Raw genomic sequence first — 22341 nt, forward strand, 5'->3', positions numbered from 1 at the left:
AAAACAAACCAAAACAAAACCCACTGTGTTTGCTTTTCCAAATTAAATTCTTCAGTTATACCAGTATGCAGTAGCAATTACTGGGTAAATTCAAAGGAGCTTTACTGTATGACCAAGAATACATTTCTCTTGGTCTGAAACAATCTATTAAAGGAAGACTTAATCTATGCTCTATTATCTTTGTGGTTAAGATTATTATTAAAGAATGAACTATTTGGGTCTGAGTTGGTGGTGTTTCCAATCAAACTGATAAATGTCCTCAGGCAAACTATGAAAGGTGGCAATTTAAGACTTGGTTCAAAATGCAACTACAGCTTCAGCTAGTGCATTCTTGTTCTGGAGTAAAAGGTAGAGTCAGTCTAGTCTAGTCTAGTCCAGAGCCGTGAGTCCTCTTTGCCTCTTTTGTGGTCTGCTGTTCCCCCACTCTCTCCCCACATCCCTAGGGTGGGAGGAGACTCATTCTGGGGCACTCCTCACAGGAATTCCCATCCCAGGTGCACCCCTTTCTACCTCAAAAAAAAAATCCTCATTCTATTAGAACTTGATTGCTTCACTCTTCGTCTTAAAGCTCAGAGGCTTGACCCATTACCAAGCAACCTGGTAAACTGATGTGATCACAGGCATTCATGTGTCACCCTCCCAAGTAACAGTGGCATTTTAACACACTCCTGCTGCAGATTTGTCTCAACTGAGGAGTGACTAATGGGGATGGGGGAGGGTGATCAATGTCAGCTGCCCTCTGAAGGGAAGGTGGAAAGACATTTTGGATCGAAGGCCTCCAAATCAAATGTTTCTTCTCCTTTTTGCCTAGTTTTAGACCAATTATTGCCCCAAATCAGTCTGTAAAGGAAACTCCTATAGTGGAAAGTATAATTTTCTCATAGATTTTTCTGTATCTTTGGTTTTTCCACTAAGAAATTTTGCTTATTGTTATTGCAAGCTCTTGTGATGATTACAAGTTGCCCTCTGTCCATCACAAAACAACTTACTGGGCAGGTGTCAACAGGTAACCACGTAGTGTAACTGCTTTTCATCAACACCCAGAGATGGATTTATATTAGGCTGTTAATGAGGTAGAACCCCACTCAGCCTCTGACTACCTATCTCCTGGTTTAACTCTTCCACCTTAAATGCGTTTTACTTTTCCTGGGATTTTATTAAAATTGTGTAGCTTGTATGACAGCTAATAATTCTAGTTTGTGGGAAGGAATTAAGTGGCTTATGTTGTACCTTGGCAGTAGTACATTTGGAAATAAAAGCAGACTCAAAGCACTCTGATTAATCTCGGAAAACGAGCTGCCTTCCCCACTGGGTATGCCTTCCGCCTTGGCAGCCTAATTCCTGATGCCAGAGCCTGATCTTAGGGATTTTTTATCTTTTTTTTTCTCTCCCTTCTGTTGTTGTTGTCTTAGAAGAATGAACTAAGCACTACAGTCATGGCAATTTTCCTGTATTGAATTAGGGTTGTGCTTTCATTCTTTCTGAACTCCCTTTGATCTAGATGTTTTGGCTGCCCTTGGGGTAAGGGCTGAGCAGCTGCAGCTCGCTGAGCAATGCCCTATGGGATGATACCTGCTCCTGTGCTGCCCCGCTCACTCTTCCTGGGTTATGAATGTATGCTTAGCATGGGACCCACACTCTTAAGTTTGCTATGAGAAAAAGACATAGTCATCGTAGAGTAGCATGCTATAAGCCATTTCCAAGCAGCATGGTAATTTGGGCTGAAGCTGCTACAGTTATGCAGTTATGGCTAAATCTTACCAGATGACATGAGAAAAAAAAAGTGAGTTAAATAGATTTGAGCCCACGGATCCCTGCAGAGAATAATGGATTACAGAAGGGGCACTATTTATGGACTCAAAATGCTAAAATTTCAGTGATACCATCTCTTCCACAAATGCAGTACTTCCTTAGTTCATCTCTGCTGTAAATTCATATTCTCTAAAAATCTTTGAATAAATTACAATAAATAGAAAGGCCAGTTCTTAAGAGAGCAACATTGCACAACATTGCATATCATATCAGGAGACGGAGGAATTGGCAGAGTTTCTGTTTGGGAAATGACTTGGTAGGCTGGAAAACAGACACCAAAGCTTTTATGAATAGGTCATCAGTTTAAATTCAGCATGGCTAGTGGTGGGTAAATGTCACTACCCATATGGCTTGGGTTCTTTGGAAATGTTGCTTACTTCTGGCTGTATGAAGCAAGTACATATAAGCTATTTGCTGTGGGACCAGATCTGAGAGTCATAGAAAGGGAAAGTGTAGCTGTGATCCTAGTAATTTAGCATCTTTATCTTTATATAATATCTATTATCTAACTTGAGAATCATATCGACATCATTAGATTGTATCATCACCACTTTACAGATGAAGAAAATGCAGCCCAAAGAGATTAAGCAACATGTCCAAGTTCACACAGCTAAATGGCACAGACACAATTAAACCTGAGGCCTCCAAAATGCCTAGCCTGGTTCTGACCCAACTCAAGTGGAATAGAGTGTTTCTTCCCCAACTCTGAACTTTTCAACTTGTGGGCTGATCCAAGTCTGTGAAAACCTCAGTGCTATTATTAGGAATGTATGAGTCCATAGGTATACCTGTGACTCTAAAATATCTTCTGTATTTAGGCACAGTTGTATTTCAAATGTATATAGATGCCCCTGTGATTAACTCTTAAAATTAATTACTTAAAATAGAAATTTATTGAAAGCTTTCTGAAAACATAGTAGCATCTGGATACTATATATTTTATTAAATAATACACACCTAAAGTACAACCACAATTATGTGTGTTTGCGTGTGTAGGGGGGTACACAGTTTGTGTTTGCATGTGGGGGGATATGAATACATGACTGTGTTTTAAGTAAAAAGTGATCTTCTTCTGCAAAAACATTAGGAAGCCCTATCTGATGTAGCAATCCTAGAATTAGAAATTAAGTTGTTTTGTTGCATCTTTTTATTTCTTTTTGTTGCTCAAATTAGTGGATTATATACTGCAAGGAGGAGGCTGTATGTCATTCATCCTTCTTTCATACAAATCTCCCCGTCTCCCCAAAAATGACGATTCAGTCATTCAAGTGTGAAAGACAAACTGGGCTATAGACAATAAAGAACAAGATTCTCCATGTCCTTTGTTAGTAACTGGAAACATTTCTAGACAAAGTAGATACAACCTAAAACTCGCAGTGCTTAACATTCTAATTACTGAATGTCCCCACACCTGAGCAGCAGGTCCTACTCTTCAGCCTCAGCTCACAAATAGGAAACAGGGTGGGCCTGAGAGAGGTGCAACAATCTTGGAAACAGATAATGGAAACTTAATGGGCTGGGAGACAAATAATTTATGAATATGCACCCATGTGACTTGATAAGGTTGGTTTTCCAAATTAACGTTTTGTACCTTGTCCATGTTGTGTAGTCATAGGGCGGGAAAGGCATTAAGAGTTTTCTTTAACTTCTAAGAATTGGAAGCCCCAAGAGAAGTTTCTTTAAAAAGGCATCGGACCTTTTGAAGCCAGGAACTCTGTGTGGTAATCTGGGTGTGTTTTATTGTCAAGGATGGGAAAAGCCTGCTACACCCAGAAATGAGCTTAAAACATGCCTAGGGACACCCACACATATAAAAGGCATCAAGAAGCCTCCATGGAAAAGAGGCCGTGTTCCCTGAGACTGTTGGGGAAAATAGTTACAGTTTCTAAGTTGCTTTTCTTTTTATTCATTCATTTTTTTTTTGAGGCGTCTCACTCTGTTGCCCAGGCTGGAGTGCAGTGGCGTGATCTCAGCTCACTGAACTAGGAGAATCGCTTGAACCTCCGCTTCCCAGGTTCAAGCAATTCTCCTGCTTCAGCCTCCCCAGTAGCTGGAATTACAGGCACCCACCACCATGCCAGGCTAATTTTTGCAGTTTAGTAGAGATGGGGTTTCACTGTCTCTACTAAATGGCCATCTACTACATGGCCAGACTGGTCTCGAACTCCTCACCTCAAGTGATGTGCCTGTCTTGGCCTCTGAAAGTGTTGAGATTACAGGCATGAGCCGCCATGCCTGGCTAAGTTGCTTTTCGGTTAGATACGGCATTGTCTCGGTCCAGGTGCATACGTGGATGAGAGGGGAAAAACCAATCCACCTATTACTTTGGCATTGTTGGGTTTAAACCACCTTCCAACCTGGAGACTCTTTTTACTTGAATATCACTCTAATTTGAACCTGCTCCCTCTGTAATATGACTTTCCTTATCTTGAGCAATATTTCACTGGGCACTGCCTTTCAGCAAATCATAAGGGGATGGTTTGTTCCTCTAGTCCTGGCATAAAACTAGAAAATACAAAAAGCTTGAAGTTTATTTGAAACATTCAGATACAAGGACTTTGGTCCTCGGAAAACATTTCTCATTTTGTTTTCCTGTAAGAGCAGGGTTTTGTCTGTCTTGCTCAATGCTAACCAGTACCTAGAAGACTTGCCAGGCCTATAGTAGGCACTCAATAAACATTTGTTGGGTGAATAAATGAATCCACTTCCCTCCCACATCTGCTCCTATAATGATGAGATGAGAAATGCAGAGGAGGCCTGGCGACAGTTGTCAGGCTGGGCTGGTTTCCACAGGCATTCTCTTCAGCTGCAGAAAGGACAACTAATTGCCACTGCTGCTTCATTTGTATCAGCCTTTCATCATGAACATTGTTATTTTGCCTCTTCTGCCAGGGATCAAATTATACAAGATTAATTAATCAAATAATTAAGTGAAAATAATTCCTTCTTTCCTTCCTCCCTTGCTCCCTTCCTTCCTTCCTTCCATTTTCTTTCTTTCTTTTTCTCTCTCTCCCTTCCTTCCTTCCCTCTTTTTCTTTCTCTCTCTCTCTCTCTCACTCATTTTTCTGGGGTCTCATTCTGTCACCCAGGCTGAGTACAGTGGCACAATCATGGCTCACTGCAGCCTTGGCCTCCCCAGGCTCAGGTGATCCTCCCACCTCAGCCTCCCAAGTAGCTGAGACTACAGGCACACATCACCATGCTCGGCTATTTTTTTTGTTTTGTATTGTAGAGACGAGGTTCTGCCATGTTGCAAGACTGTATAATATTTCTGATATCAGCCTCTCTGGAACTCTCACATTCAGTCCCTTGTCTTGAGGGGCCTGAAGAGTCAGCCTAGAATAATTTGAATTTGGTTCTATACTAAAAACATTTGTATAGCATTGAAGTCTTGTAATTGTCTTAGATTTAGATATATTAACCAAATAGAATCCATCCCATCAATTATAAATGATTTAATTTGTTCTTATACTTTGTCTTATTTTTGAGATTAATTTATATCGTGGGTGTATTTTTCTAATCACACAAAAAAGTTAAAATATTACCTAACTGCACCAAGGACTTCAAACAGGATATGGCATATAGAAGGCATCACCGAATTTCTTCTTCTGAGGGCCTAAGTAGCACATCCAGCTACATATACATATATATCTGTGCTATTTATATGTGTGTGTGTACACACACACACACACACACACATATATATAGAGAGAGAGAAAGAGAAAGAGAGAGAGAAAGGGAGTGAGAGAGAATAGGAGACAAGAGAATAATTCAAGGTATCATGGTATGAGTGAAAAGAGCAGGAGTTCTGGGGAGTATGTGTTTGAATCCTGGCTTTCTTATTTACTGCTCTGTACTTTGGGCCATTTAGTTATTTTAGTTTCCATTTAATCACCTGAAAAGAGGGCATACCATTACTTTCCATGGGTCATTGTATGGATAAAATGTGCTAAAATACATGCAGTACCTAGGACAACACTTGGAGCGCTGGAAACGCTCAATGTTAGTCTCCTGAACTCCATGAGCATTTTCAATGTCCTAGAGGAGAGACACCCTGTGTCTATGATGCCTTTCTCTTTTCTTTTTCTTTCTTTCTTTTTTTTTTTGAGACAGAGTCTCGCTCTATCACCCAGGCTGGAGTGCAGTGGCACCATCTCGGCTGACTGTAACCTCCGCCTCCCGGGTTCAAGCAATTCTCCCGCCTCAGCCTCCCGAGTAGCTGGGACTACAGGCACATGCCACCATGCCCGGCTAATTTTTGTATTTTTAGTAGAGACGGGGTTTCACCATATTGGCCAGGCTGCTCTGGAATTCCTGACCTCGTGATCCACCCGCCTCGGCCTCCCAAAGTGTTGGGATTACAGGCGTGTGAGCCACCGTGCCTGGCCTATGATGCCTTTCTAAGAAGGGAGGATAATTGGAAAACAGATATTCTAAAATCTCTGCCTTCATTTAGCAACTTGAAAACAGTACGTGAAAAGGAACTAAGAAATTTTGGGGCCTCATCTGTGTGTATGAGGAGATATCCTGCAATGGTTTAGATGGAACACATTCATTTTTTATTCGTCTTCAAGGCTTATAATGAACCTTCAGATACAGGAAAAGGACCAGCCAACTGCTGCAGCTCTTCCCTCTACTAGACAGAGCAGGAGATGCATTAGAAAATGTGATAATCTGACACCTCTGTCCAGGGAAATGCAAAGGAAGAGGTCAGTTACTGTCAATTCTAATTAGATTCATTTATTCCTGCTCTTTGGCCCATTGAAATGATGATATATGGATGAAAATTCACAAATATTTTAGTAAGCTAAGACCAAGGTGCTGAAATAATTTTCTCTCTACTTTAGAGTGAACATAGAAGGGAATAGAGGGGCTCACAGAGATGGGGGCATTGACTGAATAAATCCCGTGGGCCAAGAATGGGAGTTCAGGAAAGAGTTCAATCAAGAGGGCAACTTTTAAAATAAGAGTTTTCAATTTGCAAATGAAGTTCTCAATTTTAATTCCCTTGAAGTTTTAAAATGTGTGGGCATTTATTCTTGCTTCTCAGGATTGGAACCACTTTCTATTAGGGTGAAGATAGGTAGCACAGAAGCATATGACCTAGGCTCAGCCACCTGGATGCTCCCAACTGGGACTCTGAACTTTGAGGGAATGGTTCAAACTTACAAAGTTGGTTAAGAAATTTTTCCCAGGGGCAGTAGTAACTATTGTCTAGTGTAGCTGTGTGTTGCTGTGGCATGGGTGGGGGTGTCAGTGGCAATGTCTTCCACAGATTCTTCCTGTGGATTGGTCCTACTGACTGCTTCCTTGACTTTGGCCTTTTCCCCCTACCCCAAGTTTTTCTTCTCCAGCTCTCTTATGGATTGTGTCATCTAAATCACATATACTTCTAGTAATTTCCTCTTTTGTTAAGTCTGAGAGTATTTCTTTGGCTTGCAACTAAGACCTGACTCAAACATGTTGAGTTTTTAAAAATTACTTTTACATTCAGCTTTTCAAGAATACATGTTTTGTAAGGAAAGATACACCTATGCTTAAGTCTTGAGAGGATATAAAAGAGAGTTGTGGGCAGGATCAATGAGGCAGATTTGTGGAGACTTTCTAGAAGAATGTTTTCATAGTGTTTGGAAGGCAGCAGTAGATATGGATAAGCCCAGAGAAGGTGAGAATACAGGGTGGGCGATAAGCGTATCAATTACATACAGCCTGGTCCTGGATCCTTTAAAAGAAGCAATTCTTAAAAAAAAAAAAAAAAAATGAGAAAGAGATCTCTAGTCTGACTGGTTGGGTGCTATTTCCTATTCAGCTCTTCATGCAATACCTCACTAACTGCCACCCAATTTCAAGCCTCCCATTCCTGGGAAACACAATGGAGAGGGAGGAAGTTGGCTAACTCGAAGAAACACCTGGAGACGAACAGCAGCTTTTCTCAGTTATGCTTTTGACTTGGACAGGGAGTGGAAATTCTACTGAGGGCTCAACAGGTGATCTCCTTTGGGCTATGGACAAAGGCCACATGCTCGAGCTACTAGTTAAGCTACCTGTTTTTGTGTCCCAGCCAAACACAATACACAACCTATCTGAATAGAAGACACAGTGAGTCATGAAACCTCAGAAACTCACTTTCGTGAGAAGGCGTGCATTTGTGCATGTGTATGTAATCTGCCCATGGCCACAAAATAGCATTTCTGGCTTTCTTAAAGGTAATTAAACATCATGTCCCAAAGGGCTTATGAGAATACCCTCAAACTGCTGGGAGAAATAATAAAATATCAGGGCTTGCAGCACCATTGAGAAATGAGAATTTCTGTAGCCGGCTAAAAAAATCAGACTCTCCTGGACTCTTGAACAATTGGGGTACATAGAGCCATTTGGAGAGCACTAGGGTACTTCCTTCTTGATTTGTTTTGTGGTCCTCAGCAGCTGTCAGTTCCTTGAGTCAAGCTGGTTAGGACTGGAAACAAAAGATTTTTGTTTGAACCTTACATTTTTAAGATATAGAAATGGCACCTTGAAGCGACGACAGGGCATGCAATTGCTGTTCAAAGTCAACAGGAAACTTTAAAAGCATATGTTAGAGTCTTTGCTTTCCTGTTTCTCTCATTATGTATTCTATTAATGGGTGGATGAGGACTTTGATGTCAGGGTAGTCAGGAGTGTTTAAGAATACAGTAGGCTGTTTGTTTAAGAAACTGCTTAGTTCCTCCACTCTGTGTTAACTCTTGGTAACTTTATATGTTGTTATAGTTTAAAAATCATTTTAAAAATTGGAAGACTAGCACAAGGAACTGATATATATCCTTTATTCACTGATAAAATGAATATTTTTTCCTATGGAGAAAAATATTTACATATATAGGAAAATAAATTTATATATGGATATATATGTATACCTATTCCTATTTTTATTCTGAGTTATTTGAAAGCAAGTTGGAGCTATCTTGACCCTTTATGCCTAAATATTTCGGTATGTAAGAACATGAATATATATAACTACAGTATAGTTATCAGGTTCTGGAAAATTAACATTAATATCAAACTTGTATTTAATCAACAATCCATATTCCAAATTTAATTGTTCAAATAGTGTCTTTTGCAGTATTTTTTTCTTACCATACAGAATGCAGTCCAGAATCACATATAGCATTACTTGCCATGTCTTTTTAAGCTTCTTTAATCTATAATAGTTTTTCAACCTTTCTGTATCTTTTTGATCTTGGTATATCTGAGGAATCTATTACTCTTTAAAGAATGGTACCCATATTTTTGTCCTCCTAACTTCTCTAATTCTTCTCATTACTAAGTTCCTGCTACATGTTTTAACAATTGACTCTTTGGCTCTTATCTCTATTAATCTTTCTGATTTCCTATTTGTTCCTTTCCTCCATTCTATAATCAGATTTTCTGTACTCCTTATAGAAAGTGAAAAATTGTTCCTGTCAGTGGACTGAAATACAATAGCTGGTTGCAAAACAGTCCAAGTGCTTACGTGGACATAATTGTTTTACTTTCTTCCTATAATTGATTAAATAATTTGAAGGCACCTCTTTAAAATATAGACATTTATCCATCCAGAAAGCCTAGGACAGTTTGTATAGCAGCCTAGATTTTTCTCTAACAACTAAACGTTAGGCTCATTTGTAAATATTTCAGCAACTTGACACTTTGGAGATGTGCATTTCAGAAATTATTTAGGATCTGAATTCAATTAGGATAACTTCTTAAATCCAGTAAATGCAACCATCCAGACAGTCTCAATCTTCTTACTTCTTTACACGGAATAAGGCAAGGCTCCCAAGTTAGTTCCCATGAGTTTCCTCCTTGAGCAATTTCTCTTCTTGGAAACACTTGAGAGAAGGGGCAGTCCTATCTCACTGGGGCCCAGATGATCAGTGCTTGGCATTCCTTATCCCCTCTCCATGGTATTTTCTTGAGTCCAGTGGTAATTCTGGCAATTGGTTCTTGGCAATACATAGGATTCAACTCACCACTCCAAGGCCGGTAAATAAGAGAATGATACATGGAGATAAACTCTTAATAGTTATCCTTGTTTTTATAAAATTTGAGTAAGGTCAGGATGTTCAGAGTCACATTAAAAATTTCTCAGCATTCACTATAGTCTGTGTGAGAGCTGGGACTCAGTGTTCTGAGAAAAGAACCATGATTTCTGCCCAAGACCCAAACTTCCTGAACATCGGAGCAAGTTACTTTATTTCCTTTAATTTCTTCCTCTATAAAATGGGAATAATTATATCACAGGGATAATTTATGAAACTGCCATAAAAGTGGTAGCAAAGACTCAAGCACAGCATTCCATAAATATTAAATCAGGACAATAATAATTTGTGAGATTTTTTTGTGAACCGCTGACCCTGTTTCACACAAAAGGTGGCTTACTGATAGAATGTATTTACCTCCATTCATTTAAAGCAACCTCTACAAGAAATTATTATGAACAATGATCCTAGGTTTTTGCTGTCAAACAAGCTGGATTAAGCAGCATTATTCAGAATATAGACTGGCATTATAATGAAATTGGCATTTGTGGTGGCTGATAAAAAAATGAAGCTTATTGTATAAGCATTCTTTTTTTTTTTTTTTTGAGACGGAATCTCATTCTGTCACCAGGCTGGAGTGCAGTGGCGCAATCTTCGGCTCACTGCAACCTCCGCCTCCCAGGTTCAAGTGATTCTCCTACCTCAGCCTCCTGAGTAGCTGGGACTACAGGCACCCACCACCATGCCCGGCTAATTTTTTTGTATTTTTAGTAGAGACGGGGTTTCACCATGTTGGCCAGGCTGGTCTTGAACTCCTGACCTTGTGATTTGCCTGCCTTGGCCTCCCAAAGTGCTGGGATTACAGGTGTGAGCCACCGCACCTGGCCGTGAGCACTCTTAAAACATAGTGGAGCCTTGTCTGGGCTTGGTACATGTTGTCTCCCACTTCTCTTATCCCTGAAATGCATATAATTGCACTGCGCATGGTGGGAGGAAACATATGTTCACGCCTGTCTCACACACACATACCACATACCAAATGTTGCCTTTCCTTCAGTCCCTCATTGCCTTTCCTTCCGACTGCACTGCCGCCCACTTCTCTCTACAGTCCTCCTCCCACACAAGCCAGCCTTCTCTAGTAACAATGCTGTTCTGGACCTGCCATTGTCTCTCTCCACAACAAAACATATCCAGCTCTGGTCTTATACCCACAGAGTCTTCTTCCAGGTGACAGCCATCTGAACTGCTAAGCCAATCTGTTCTAGTGAGATCATGAACAATATTGACTTTATGTGTTGCCTCGTCTCTTGCCTTATTTCAGCAAAACTTCTTCTTGTCAGTGTTTTCAAGGATCATGGCAGAACCAGTGAGGAATACTTTTGGTGGTTGGAACTTTCTTTTGCCTTTAAATCACGCTGTTGAGGTGTGTAGTCTGCAAGGGACTAGCTGTCAGACACTGCATTTTTTGCTAATTGAGAAAACATTCTGACTAAACTCAGTCCCTGAAATAGGGCCTCGAGTCCAATCATTTTTGGTGATAGAGAAGTTGAATTCAAGGCCAAAACAATGGAGAGTGATAGTGACTCCCTTTGTTTCTAAGGTCTCTCTCTGGTCTGGACATTTCTAGAAGATGCTTTACTACTCATCTAGGATAATCTTCATGTCTTACCAGAAGAATACCACCTACCAAGCTCAACTACTACATCAGCAAGATCTTCTATTAGGTCCGAATAAATTGCTATTTTGGTACTGTAGAAAAAAATGACTAAGTGAAATCGCCAATTTGGACTGTTGAGGTTGTTGGAATTCCTATTTATGGCATCCAAGGTTAGCAAAATTCATATTTGCAGGCTTAGAAGGTATATGATTTTTTTCATTCATTAATCTGTCCTTGTATGTATCATCTTCTTTCCTTAATAATTCACTTTTTACCTTCTCATTTTTGCTTACATGTATTTTCCTTTTATCACTCCTTTACCCCTCCTTCATGCTCCCTGAACTCCTTTCTTCCCCTTCCACAGTCATCCTTTTTTCATTTCAAGAATGGTTGCTGACATTTTATTTTTGACCCATTTCTCAGTTCTTTCATCTTTCCATCCTGGCTCTTCCTATCCAATTTTTAATGCATCTTCCAAACTTTTGAGGATGAGGCACACTTTTCTCTGCCTCACTGCAACAGGCTGCCATTGAGACAGGAAATGAAACAATCGGCCCTGTGCTGGCATGAACTTCACCTTAGCATTAGCCACATTGGAGCCACCACTGAACATACTCATACTAGAATAAAGTTGTCCTGATCAGCATCATGGTCCTGGAGGGCATTACTGCTTCACACTATAGTTACCACCCTGCGTTTGTACACACATGTACAGACTCATATAGCCACACATACATATTTACTTCTTATACATGGGATTTGATATGGCCTTTAATTTGTAGTTTGCCTTTACAGAATTTGGTTGCAGTACTGTCAGATATGCTCCCTCAACTGAATCAGTTTTAATAAAGCATAAATTAGTGGATGGGGACTTAAATTTGCCAATCCAGATAAAGTGTACAGAATAATTGTAATATGAGCTTTCTAAATAAGAACTTGCTGGAATAAATATGATGCCTTGGGGAGATGTTGGCAATATCATCACCTAATTAAGGAGAAAGAAACAGTGACACCACCTTTGGAAGGAATCTAAGATGCCATATAATTCCATTTTATTCTTGGGAAACCCTGATTACTACAACATAGGTGATCCAGATAAAACATTAATTTTAAGACCTTGAGGGAGGGAGAAATTGACTTGTTTCCAGTCCCAGAGCATATCAGCGGAGGGATCAAGACTGGATCCCTGTTCTTGGCAGTTTGCAATACAGATATTTGGAAATGTTTTCCCCCCTGAGAATGTTACCTTAAAGTTACCATGAACTTTATTCTTAAAAAAAATTCTTCATACGGTCTTAGATAGAGCATCTTTATGGTAGCTCTCTGACCACTCAAACAGTATTCATTGAGATGAACTCATATGAAGGCATGTGGTAGAAAATAAAACACTTGGAACCACTTGATCTGATCTTGTTATCACCTCTACAGATGACATAGCCTTTTTTTCCTACTAACTTACTCTCATTAGGCTTGACGTATCCTAAGCTTCTATTGAAAGGAGAATAACAACTTTATTTTGAAGTGGGGCAAAAGTTCACTGGCCTGGAAATTATTAAGTGGTTTGTCTACTAACATTATGAGCAATCATTTACATAAAGGCAGTGATAATAGGAAATTTCTCACAGCAAATGTGCAGTATACTATAATTTAGATTTATTGGCTCATATTCATGTGCTTTTAAAAGTTTGGGGCAAAGTCAGGCAGATTATACGTGGCAAGATTTATGTTTACCCATTAGGCCACCCTAACAATTCCATGAGTGTTAAAAATCATAAATACAGGAGTCAAAAACTTATTAATCATGTGGTTCAACTCCTCATAAGGGCACTGAGACCTTGAGAGATTAAGTGAGGTCTTCTGACCCAGAGATTCTTGCACTCTTCTCTCCGCTGTCTAGTAAGAAGTTGTTGCAGAATAAATCAAATCAATTTTCTCTGACCCCAGGAGGACTCTTGTTTTTATTTTTCCAGAGTTGAGCAATTTTTTCCCCTGAATCTTTCTTAAAACCAAGGACTAATATTTGCTGGCAAAGGCTAGCATGAGATACACAGGATGTAGCTGTAGAACAAGGAGTATTTCCTGTGCAAAATTTACTGGCTTAATCAGAAATTGCATCCTTGATTTCATATTAAGTTGGGAGTTAAATCTTCCCACAACTTGGCATGTGGAGCCAGATATCTATGAAACACTTGATATCCATGAAAATGGGGAAGAGATGGAGATACCCTAGGAAAAGGAGAAACACAAATATTTTAGTGTTCAGCTTTTAAATGCACCAAATCTGAAAAATCCACAGAATGAGACTGATTTTCAAATCCAAAGAAAATATTTACACCATTCTATTTATAAACATAAATAGAACCATATGAAATTGCCTTTTCCGTAGGCCCAAAATATTGAAATATTGGCAATTTCTTATAGTTCAACCAAATATTATATAATAAAAATCGTGGGAAACTAGAACATGTATATACATTTCAAGTGACTATGGTTTTTGCTTTCATACTGGGTTCCTTAAAAATTAATTGGACCATTATAGGCCTTAGTTAACTGTATATAGATTCTGGAAAATAGCAGTGAGTGGATACGCCATGCTTGTCTGTTCTTCACATTGCTTGGATCTGACCTCCATAACTGCATGGTTTTACCTCCACCAAAGCATTATTTTTTTTCAGGATAATCTCCTGGTATTGCAAGGAAGCCAGCTACCTACTTCAAAGGGAATCATCCTGCCGTTGTGTCTAGGCAGTTCGACTCACCTTCTACTTTGCCTTTTAGGGCCCCTCTTTTTTTCTTTGCTCTGGCACTGATGTGCTTCTAGAAATGCTCCATTGTCTCTTTGTTCCTACATGCTCCAACATTTCTGCTCAGCTAAATGACGGCTAATAGCAGTGGGATAGGCTGCCAGCTGTTATGGGTGCTTTGTGTGGAGCCTATCTGACCTTTTTATTATATAAAAGTGTTAAGCCAGTTATTAACAGAAGAGAAACTGAAAAGAAACCATATAAAGAAAAAAGTGGCATAGCAAACCCACTTATAAATCAGCCGTCCTTTAATTATCTTGGAAGCAAGAACTTCCTCATTATGAAAGATGGAAGAAAGTAAGGTGGAAGGCTTATCACCTGATGATAACCCTGTGTCGGCATCAATTATAGGTTTTCTGGATTAATGCATTGAGATGTTGATTTCAGGAGCTCAGACCAGACTTCAGTGTTCAAGAAAGCAGGCTACTCAAGAGAGTGATACAGAAAAGCTGATTCAAATGTGGACTTTGCTGAAAAGGGCATTACTATTTGGTAACCCAGGTCTTGATCTTAATTCAAACAGGTAATGTAAGCTCAGACAGCACAAGAGCTGACGTGTATTTGAAAATGTCTAGATTCCACTTCTTAAGTGCTTTCAAGTTTCCACCCCAAAAAGTTAAATTCTAAACTGCGTGTGCTTTTATCTCTTCTCATTTCCTTTACTTGTACAATATACAGTAAAATTTTTGTTTGAAAAATACCAGGCTTGTTTTGGCCCCCCGACCCTCTGAGCCTTCACCCAAAGCACTCGCTAAGCCGAGTAAGACCTTTTTTGAGGCCTGAAAGTGTCTGGTTCACTTTCTTTTATGTTATTTTTCCTTTGGGTGGACCTCTGCATTTCAAGATGTATTATTTAAATATTATCATTTCCAGGCCAAAAACAGGCAAAAAGTTCTAAAGGAACACAATTTTGCAGACTACAGATTTTTAGAAAAAATTGGATTAGCTGTGTATAAGCATCTAGCTTTTGGGGTGCTTAAAATAGAAAGTATCAAAATGTATCACTAGCCCAAATCCTCATCTGACTCAGATCCTTGAAGGTTGCCCTCCGTTAGTCTGCCAGAGAGCCCCATATTCTATTCAGTATTGGTTTCTTGGTTTTGTAAAATACAAGGGTCAATGTCTCTAAGGAAGCTGCTGTTTATTTGGTAAGCTTTACTAATCCTTTCCCATTATAACAAAAAGACAATACAGTTTATCACAGAAGTAAAAACACACTGTTGCCGGATATTTTCACATGCTAACTGGCACTACAGTCTTGTACATTTTGTTTTCATGAGATATCCAGGTTACATGAATAATACACTGGGAGGTTTGGGAGATTTCTCAAACATTATTTTTGGTAGTTACAGAAACCAAAACCGAGAGGAATGTATATGTTTGTGAACATTTAATTACATGTTTGTGTGCACAGGAATGAAAAAATCACTTAATCAATAACTAAAAGCACCTTGATAGGATGAAGCTAACTTGTGGTCTGTGCATTTTGAACCAGATTCTAATAAGCTTTTGAACCTTTTTGACACTGTCACTCAAAGATATTTTGTATTCTTTTCTTTTACTATTTATCTGATTTGACTCCAATCCACTTTGTGGTGTTGGCTGGGTTTTTGGGTTGAGTCAAATTTTCCATACAACACAAAACTCTTCTCTCACTCTGAGAATGTTCCTTAAATCAAGAATAGAACACTGAGGAAGGGCTTGTATTAACCTGTCTGGAAAGCAAGTTTGTGTCTTCTTTTTCTTCTTCTTTCTTCTCTTTTAATAAGACTAATAACTAGAGGTCTTAGTTAAAATAATGGAGATGTTGAAAGTGGATTTGAAAATGCACGGTAGCTGCCTAATCATGCTTGAACTTTCTAGTGGCTCACTTGCCTTGTGCTTTTTAATTGATGGGGCAGACATACCAAGTGTTTGGAGATGAACTGATACATGCCTGGATTTATGAGGCCCAGAGGCTAAGTTTGAACTTGCTAGCTAGTGGGAGAGCAGAGGGGTCACATTCAGCTGTGGTTGAGGCTGAATTGCCACTATTCAGTTCATATGGGGAGAAAAGTCACTTTCCAAAGGGCATTTGGTCTGCAGCAGAACCACAACTTTTAGTCCTCTGATATGTCAAATGCAGAACCAATGTAATTATCTGGATAAATCAAACCACAGATTGTTTCATACTCTAAGGTAACTATGAAAGACATTGACAATGAGCCCATGCATTTTCTTTTCTTTCCGTAAGCTTTCTTTCCCCCCAGACCTCATCTTTGTCAATTCCCTTCTCTTTCTTAAAAAGTATACAATCTGCCTGTGGTTCCTTTCTTGTAGCCTCTTGGGGTCATGTGAATTTGGTGGACTTATTGCCCTTCTCTCCAAATAACATGTAGTCCTCCTTAAAACAGTATTAAACTGACTGATCCCTGTATTTTAATTTATTAGTGTAGGGGAGGAGTAATGAGTAGAAGAGAATGAAAAAAAGAAAGCAAATTGATATTTATTGAGAAATAGCCATGAGTCATGAATTTTGCTTGGTATTTTGTGAACATCCTCTCACAAACTTCTGTAATATAATTAAGATATTGTAAGTTAAAATCATTAGGAATAACAGGGAGTTATGTCAGCAACATGGAGTTCTCTGGCTTCATTCCTTGCCCGCAAAAGAAATCCAATTAGCAATTATGCACAGGCAAGAATTCCATCTTGAATATCCCAGAATTCAGGAGTGAGGCTGATACACTTCTTTGGACCACAGAATCTAAAAATGCCATGAGTGAATGGTAAGAGAATCAGTTTTCTTTGACTGCAGTCCCCCTTTTCCAGACTGGCATGGCACCACATGCAGAAAATTCTCCTGGGTCCACAGCTTCTGCAGTGTGAGGGATGAATTGGAGGTGAACATTCAGCATCTGTACCGTTCTGAGACCCTTTGCTGGAGACTTGCTCCTGTCTCATCATGTGAGAAATATTGGGAGTGCCAGCAGGGCTGGACCACCTGGGGTCAGTTGGAGCCACGGAAGGTGGGTAAGGCTCCATAAGAATCAGTGCATGGATCTTGGTAGCTGCTCTGCATTCCAACCAAAGAAGGCACCACAGCAGAGAAACTAGCCAACAGCATCATGCCGCAGGCAACACAGCAGAGATTCCAAAACACAGTACCACCCAGCCAGGAAAGACAACCCATAACCTGGCCCAATTACACCTGATGGTAGAGTTCAGCCAGTGGTCTCACCAGACCACAGAGCACAGCTAGCAATACCATTTATCCTCCACACAGGAAGTGACCCAGCTCAACTAGAGAATCCCACACCAAGGCCTGCCTGTTCGGGTTTGCAGTTAGCCAGCACATACAGAATCCCAGGCTAGACTAAATAGTAAAGGCCTATTACCACCAAACAGCAGCTGCAAAGGCTGGAAGAGGTGGTCACCTCTTTAAATATGCAGGCATCAATTTAAGGACACAAGAAAATTATGACAAATCAGGGAAATATAACACCATCGCCAAAAAAAAAAAAAAAAATGAAGCTCTAGTAAGGAACCCAGGAATAAAGGCTCTCTAAGAAGTGACTGATAAAGAATTGAGAATAATCCCTTTAAAGAAATTCAGGTAACTACGTGAAGATAGAGATAGAAAATTAAATACAATTTGGAAAACAATTCATGAACAAAATGCAAAGTTTGACAAAGAAATAGAAACAATTTTTAAAAACCAAATAGAAATCTTAGAGATATAAAACACAACAACTGAACTGAAAAATTCAATAGAAAAATTCAATGGAGACTTGATCAAGCAGAAGAAAGAATCGGTGAGCTCAAGACAGGACATTTGAAATTATCCAATCAAAGGCGCAAAAAGAAAAAAAGAATAAAGAAAGCTTACAGGATTTATGAGATAGCATCAAAGGAGCAAATATTTGTCTTTGGAATTTAAGAGGCAATAGAGAAAGACAAAGGAGTAGAAAGCTTATTTAAGGAAATAATAGCAGAAAACCTTCTAAACCTGAAGAAAGATATAAATATCTGGTACAGGGAGGTTAACAGGCACCAATCAAATTCAATCTAAATAAGACTACCCCAACACATATTATAATCAAACCATCAAATATCAAAGACAAAGAGAGGATTCTGAAAGCAGAAAGAGAAAGGAAGCAAATAACTTATGAGAGAATGTTAATGTATTTAGCAGTAGACACTCAACAGAAATCTTACAGGCCAAGAGGAAGTGGGATGATACATTCAAAGCACTGAAAGAAGACAACTCTGCCAACCAAAAATACTGCAGTGCTGTCCTTCAGAAATGAAGGACAGGTAAAGACTTTCTCAGACAAACAAAAGCTGGGAGATTTATCACCCCAGACCTATCTTACAAGAAATGCTAAAGGGAGTTCCTCACACTGAAAGAAAAAAATGCTATTGAGAAACACAAAAACATATGAAAGTGTAAAACTTACTGGTAAAAGTAAGTACACTGGTAATATTTGGAATAGTCTAATATTTTAATGATAGCATGTAAATCACATATTTAGTATAAAAGTTAAAGGACAGAATTATTAAAAATAATGATGACAGTAAGTTGTCAAGGGTTGTAAAATATAAAATGTTATAAACTGTGGCATAACAGAGTCAAAATGTGGGGGTAGAGTGAAGTGTAGAGTTTTGTTTTTGTTTTTGCAATCAAAGTTAACTTTTTATCAGCTTAAAGTAACCTGTTATAACTATAAGATGTTTTTTGTAAGCCTCATGGTAAGTGCAAAGTAAAACCTATAATAGATACACAAAAAATAAAAAGCAAGAAATCAAAACACACTACAGAGAAAATCACTTAACTAAAAAGAAAGATAATAAAAGAGGAAAAAAGGAATAAAGAATCTACAAAACAACCAGAAAACAGTTAACAAAATGGCAAGAGTATGTCCTTGCCTATCAATAATTACCTTGAATGTAACTTGATTAAATTCTCCAATTAAAAGAGTGGCTGAATCAATTTTTTTTTAAAAGACCTAACCATTTTTTGCCTAGAAGAGAATGAGACTCAGTTCACTTGTAAGGACACATGTAAATTGAAAGTGAAGGGATGGAAAAAGATATTCCATGAAAACACAAATCAAAAGAAGGCAAGAATAGTTATACTTAAATCAGATGAAATAGAATTTAAGTCAAAATTGTGAAAGGAGACAAAAATGATCATTATGTTTTGATAAAAGGGTAAATTTAGTTAGAGGTTATAACAATTGTAAAGATATATGCACCCAACATGAGAGCATCTAAATACATAAGGCAAATATTAATAGATCAGAAGAGAGAGACAGATCGCAAAGTAATTATAGTAGGCAACTCGAACACCTATTGTTTCAGCAATGGATAAATTATTTAGAAAATCAACAAAGAAACATCAGACTTAAACTATATTTTAGGCCTAGTGAACATCATGGTCACATACAAAACATTTCATCCAACAGCTGCAGAATACACATTGCTCTCCACTGCATGTGGAACTTCCTCCAAAATAGATTATATGTTCAGCCACAAAATAAGTTTATAAAATTTTATGAAGATTGAAATCATATCAAGTATCTTTTCTAAATATAATAGTATAAAACTAGAAATAAATAACAGGGGGATTTTGGAAAAGTCACAAATACATGGAAATTATAAAATTTATTGAGACAAATAAAAATTGAAATATACCACAACAAAGCCCATAGGATATAGCAAAAGCAATTCTCAGAGGGAAGTTTATAGTAATAAACAGCTATATCAAAAAGAAGGCTCTCAACCAATCTAACATTATATTTTAAGGAGCTAGAAAAATAAGACAAAACTAAGCCCAAATTTAGTAGAAGGAAAGCAATAATAAAGATTAGAGCAGAAATAAATGAAATAGAGACTAGGAAAATAATGGAAAATATCAAAATGAAGAGTTGGTTTTTAAATTTTTATTTATTTTTTATTTTTCTGAGACTGGGTCTCACTCCCATCACCCAGACTGGAGTGGCATGATCATGATCACAGCTCATTGCAGCCTTGACTTCAGGTGATTCTCCCATCTCAGCCTCATGAGTAGCTGGGACTACAGGCACATGCCACCACGCTTGTCTAATTTTTCTGTATTTTTAGCAGAGATGAAGTTTTGCCATGTTGGCCAGGCTGGTCTCAAACTCCTGGGCTGAAGTGATCCACCTGCCTTGGGCTCCCAGAGTGCTGGGACTACAGGTGTGAGCCACTGCACCTGGCCAAGAGTGCTTTTTAAAAGATAAAATGGAAAAATCATTAGCTAGGTTGAGAAAAAAGAAGAGAAGATTCAAATAAAATCACAGATGAATAAAGATACATTACAACTGATACCACAGAAATAAAAAGGATCATTAGAGAATATTATGAATAATAATGCCAGCAAATTAGAAAACCTAGGAGAAGTGGATAAATTTCTGTACAACCTACTAATATTGAATTACAAAGAAATAGAAAAACTAGACAGACCAATAATGAGTAAGGAGATTGAATCAGTAATAGAAAGTCTCCCATCAAACGAAAGCCCAGGACCTGATGGCCTCAATGCTGAATTCTACAAAAATTTAAAAAAGATCTAATACCAAATTCTTTTCAAACTCTTTAGAGAAATTAAAGGGACAGACTACTTCTAAACTCATATTACAAGGCCAGCATTATCCCGATACCAACACTAGACAAAGATTCAGCAACAACTACAAAACTACAGGCCAATATCCCTGATAAACAGAGATACAAAAATCCTCATCAAAATACTAGCAAACTGAATTCAACTGCACATTGAAAAGATTATTCACCATGGTTAAGTTAGAATCATCCCAGGAATGTAAGGATGGTTCAACATACACAAATCAATAAATGTGATAAGTCGCATTAACAAAATAAAGGATGAAAACCATATATATGATCACTTTGATAGATGCAGAAAAAAACATCCGACACAATTCAACATCCCTTCATAAAAATACTTAAAACAAATTAGACATAGAAGGAATGTATCACAGAATAATGCAGAACATATATGACAAACCCACTGCTAACATCATACTGAATGGGAAAAAGTTTACAGCTTTTCTGGAACAAGACAAGGATGCCCATTCTCCACTTCTATTCAACATCATACTGAAAGTCCTGACCAGCAGAGTTAGGCAAGAGAAAGAAATAAAAGAAATCCAGATTGGAAAGGAAGAAGTTAAATTGTTCCTATTTGCAGATGACATGACCTTACATATTGAAAACCCTAAAGACTCCACCAAAAAACTGTTAGAACTAATAAATTCAGTAAAGGTGCAGGATTAGCATTTCAATATACTAACAGCGATCGATCTGAAAAAGAAATAAAGAAAACAATCCATTTACAATAGCTAAAAAGAAAATATAATACTTAGAAATAAATGTATCCAAGGAAGTGAACTATCTCTCCACACTGAAAACAATAAAACACTGATGAAAGAAATTGAAGAACACACTTATACATGGAAAGATATACCGTGTTCATAAACTGGAAGAATTAATATTGTTAAAATGTCCATAGTACTCAAATCAATTTACAGATTCAATGCAGTTCCTATCAAAATGGCATTCTTTGAAAAAATAGAAAAAACAATCCTAAAATTTGTACAGATCCACACAAGACCCTGAAGGGTCAAAGTAATCTTGAGGAAAAGTAACAAATCTGGAGCCATCACACTACCCGATTTCAAAATACACTCCAAAGCTACTGTAACAAAAACAGCATAACACGCTGGCATAAAAATGGACACATGGACCAATGGAACAGCAAAGAGATCCCAGAAATGAATCCAGGCACCTATGGCCAACTGATTTATGACAAAGTTGCCAAGAAAATACAATGGGGAAAGGACAATCTCTTCAATAAATAGTGCTGGGAAAACTAGACATCTATATGCAGAGGAATGAAATTAGACCTTTATCTTTCATCATATAAAAAGTAAACTCAGAATAGACAGAAGGCCCAACACTATTAGACTATCAGAAGAAAATACAGGGGAAAAGCTCCATGAAATTGGTCTGGGAAATGAATTTCTGGATATGACCTCAAAATCACAAG

The 22341-nt window shown here is 38.3% G+C and overlaps 1 long non-coding RNA gene across 1 annotated transcript in view; it reads right to left on the reverse strand.

Annotated features, from left to right (window-relative positions):
• Positions 1-12504: 12504 nt before the first annotated feature.
• The window catches only part of LOC105369710 (uncharacterized), a 66878-nt gene continuing 57041 nt past the window's right edge, over positions 12505-22341 (reverse strand). Inside the window, exon 3 of the long non-coding RNA XR_931461.3 lies at positions 12505-13695. This is a non-coding gene — a long non-coding RNA (uncharacterized LOC105369710). The remainder of the gene's footprint in view (positions 13696-22341) is intronic.

This window comes from Homo sapiens, chromosome 12 (genome assembly GCF_000001405.40).
Source record: "Homo sapiens chromosome 12, GRCh38.p14 Primary Assembly".
Classification (NCBI taxonomy): Eukaryota; Metazoa; Chordata; class Mammalia; order Primates; family Hominidae; genus Homo; species Homo sapiens.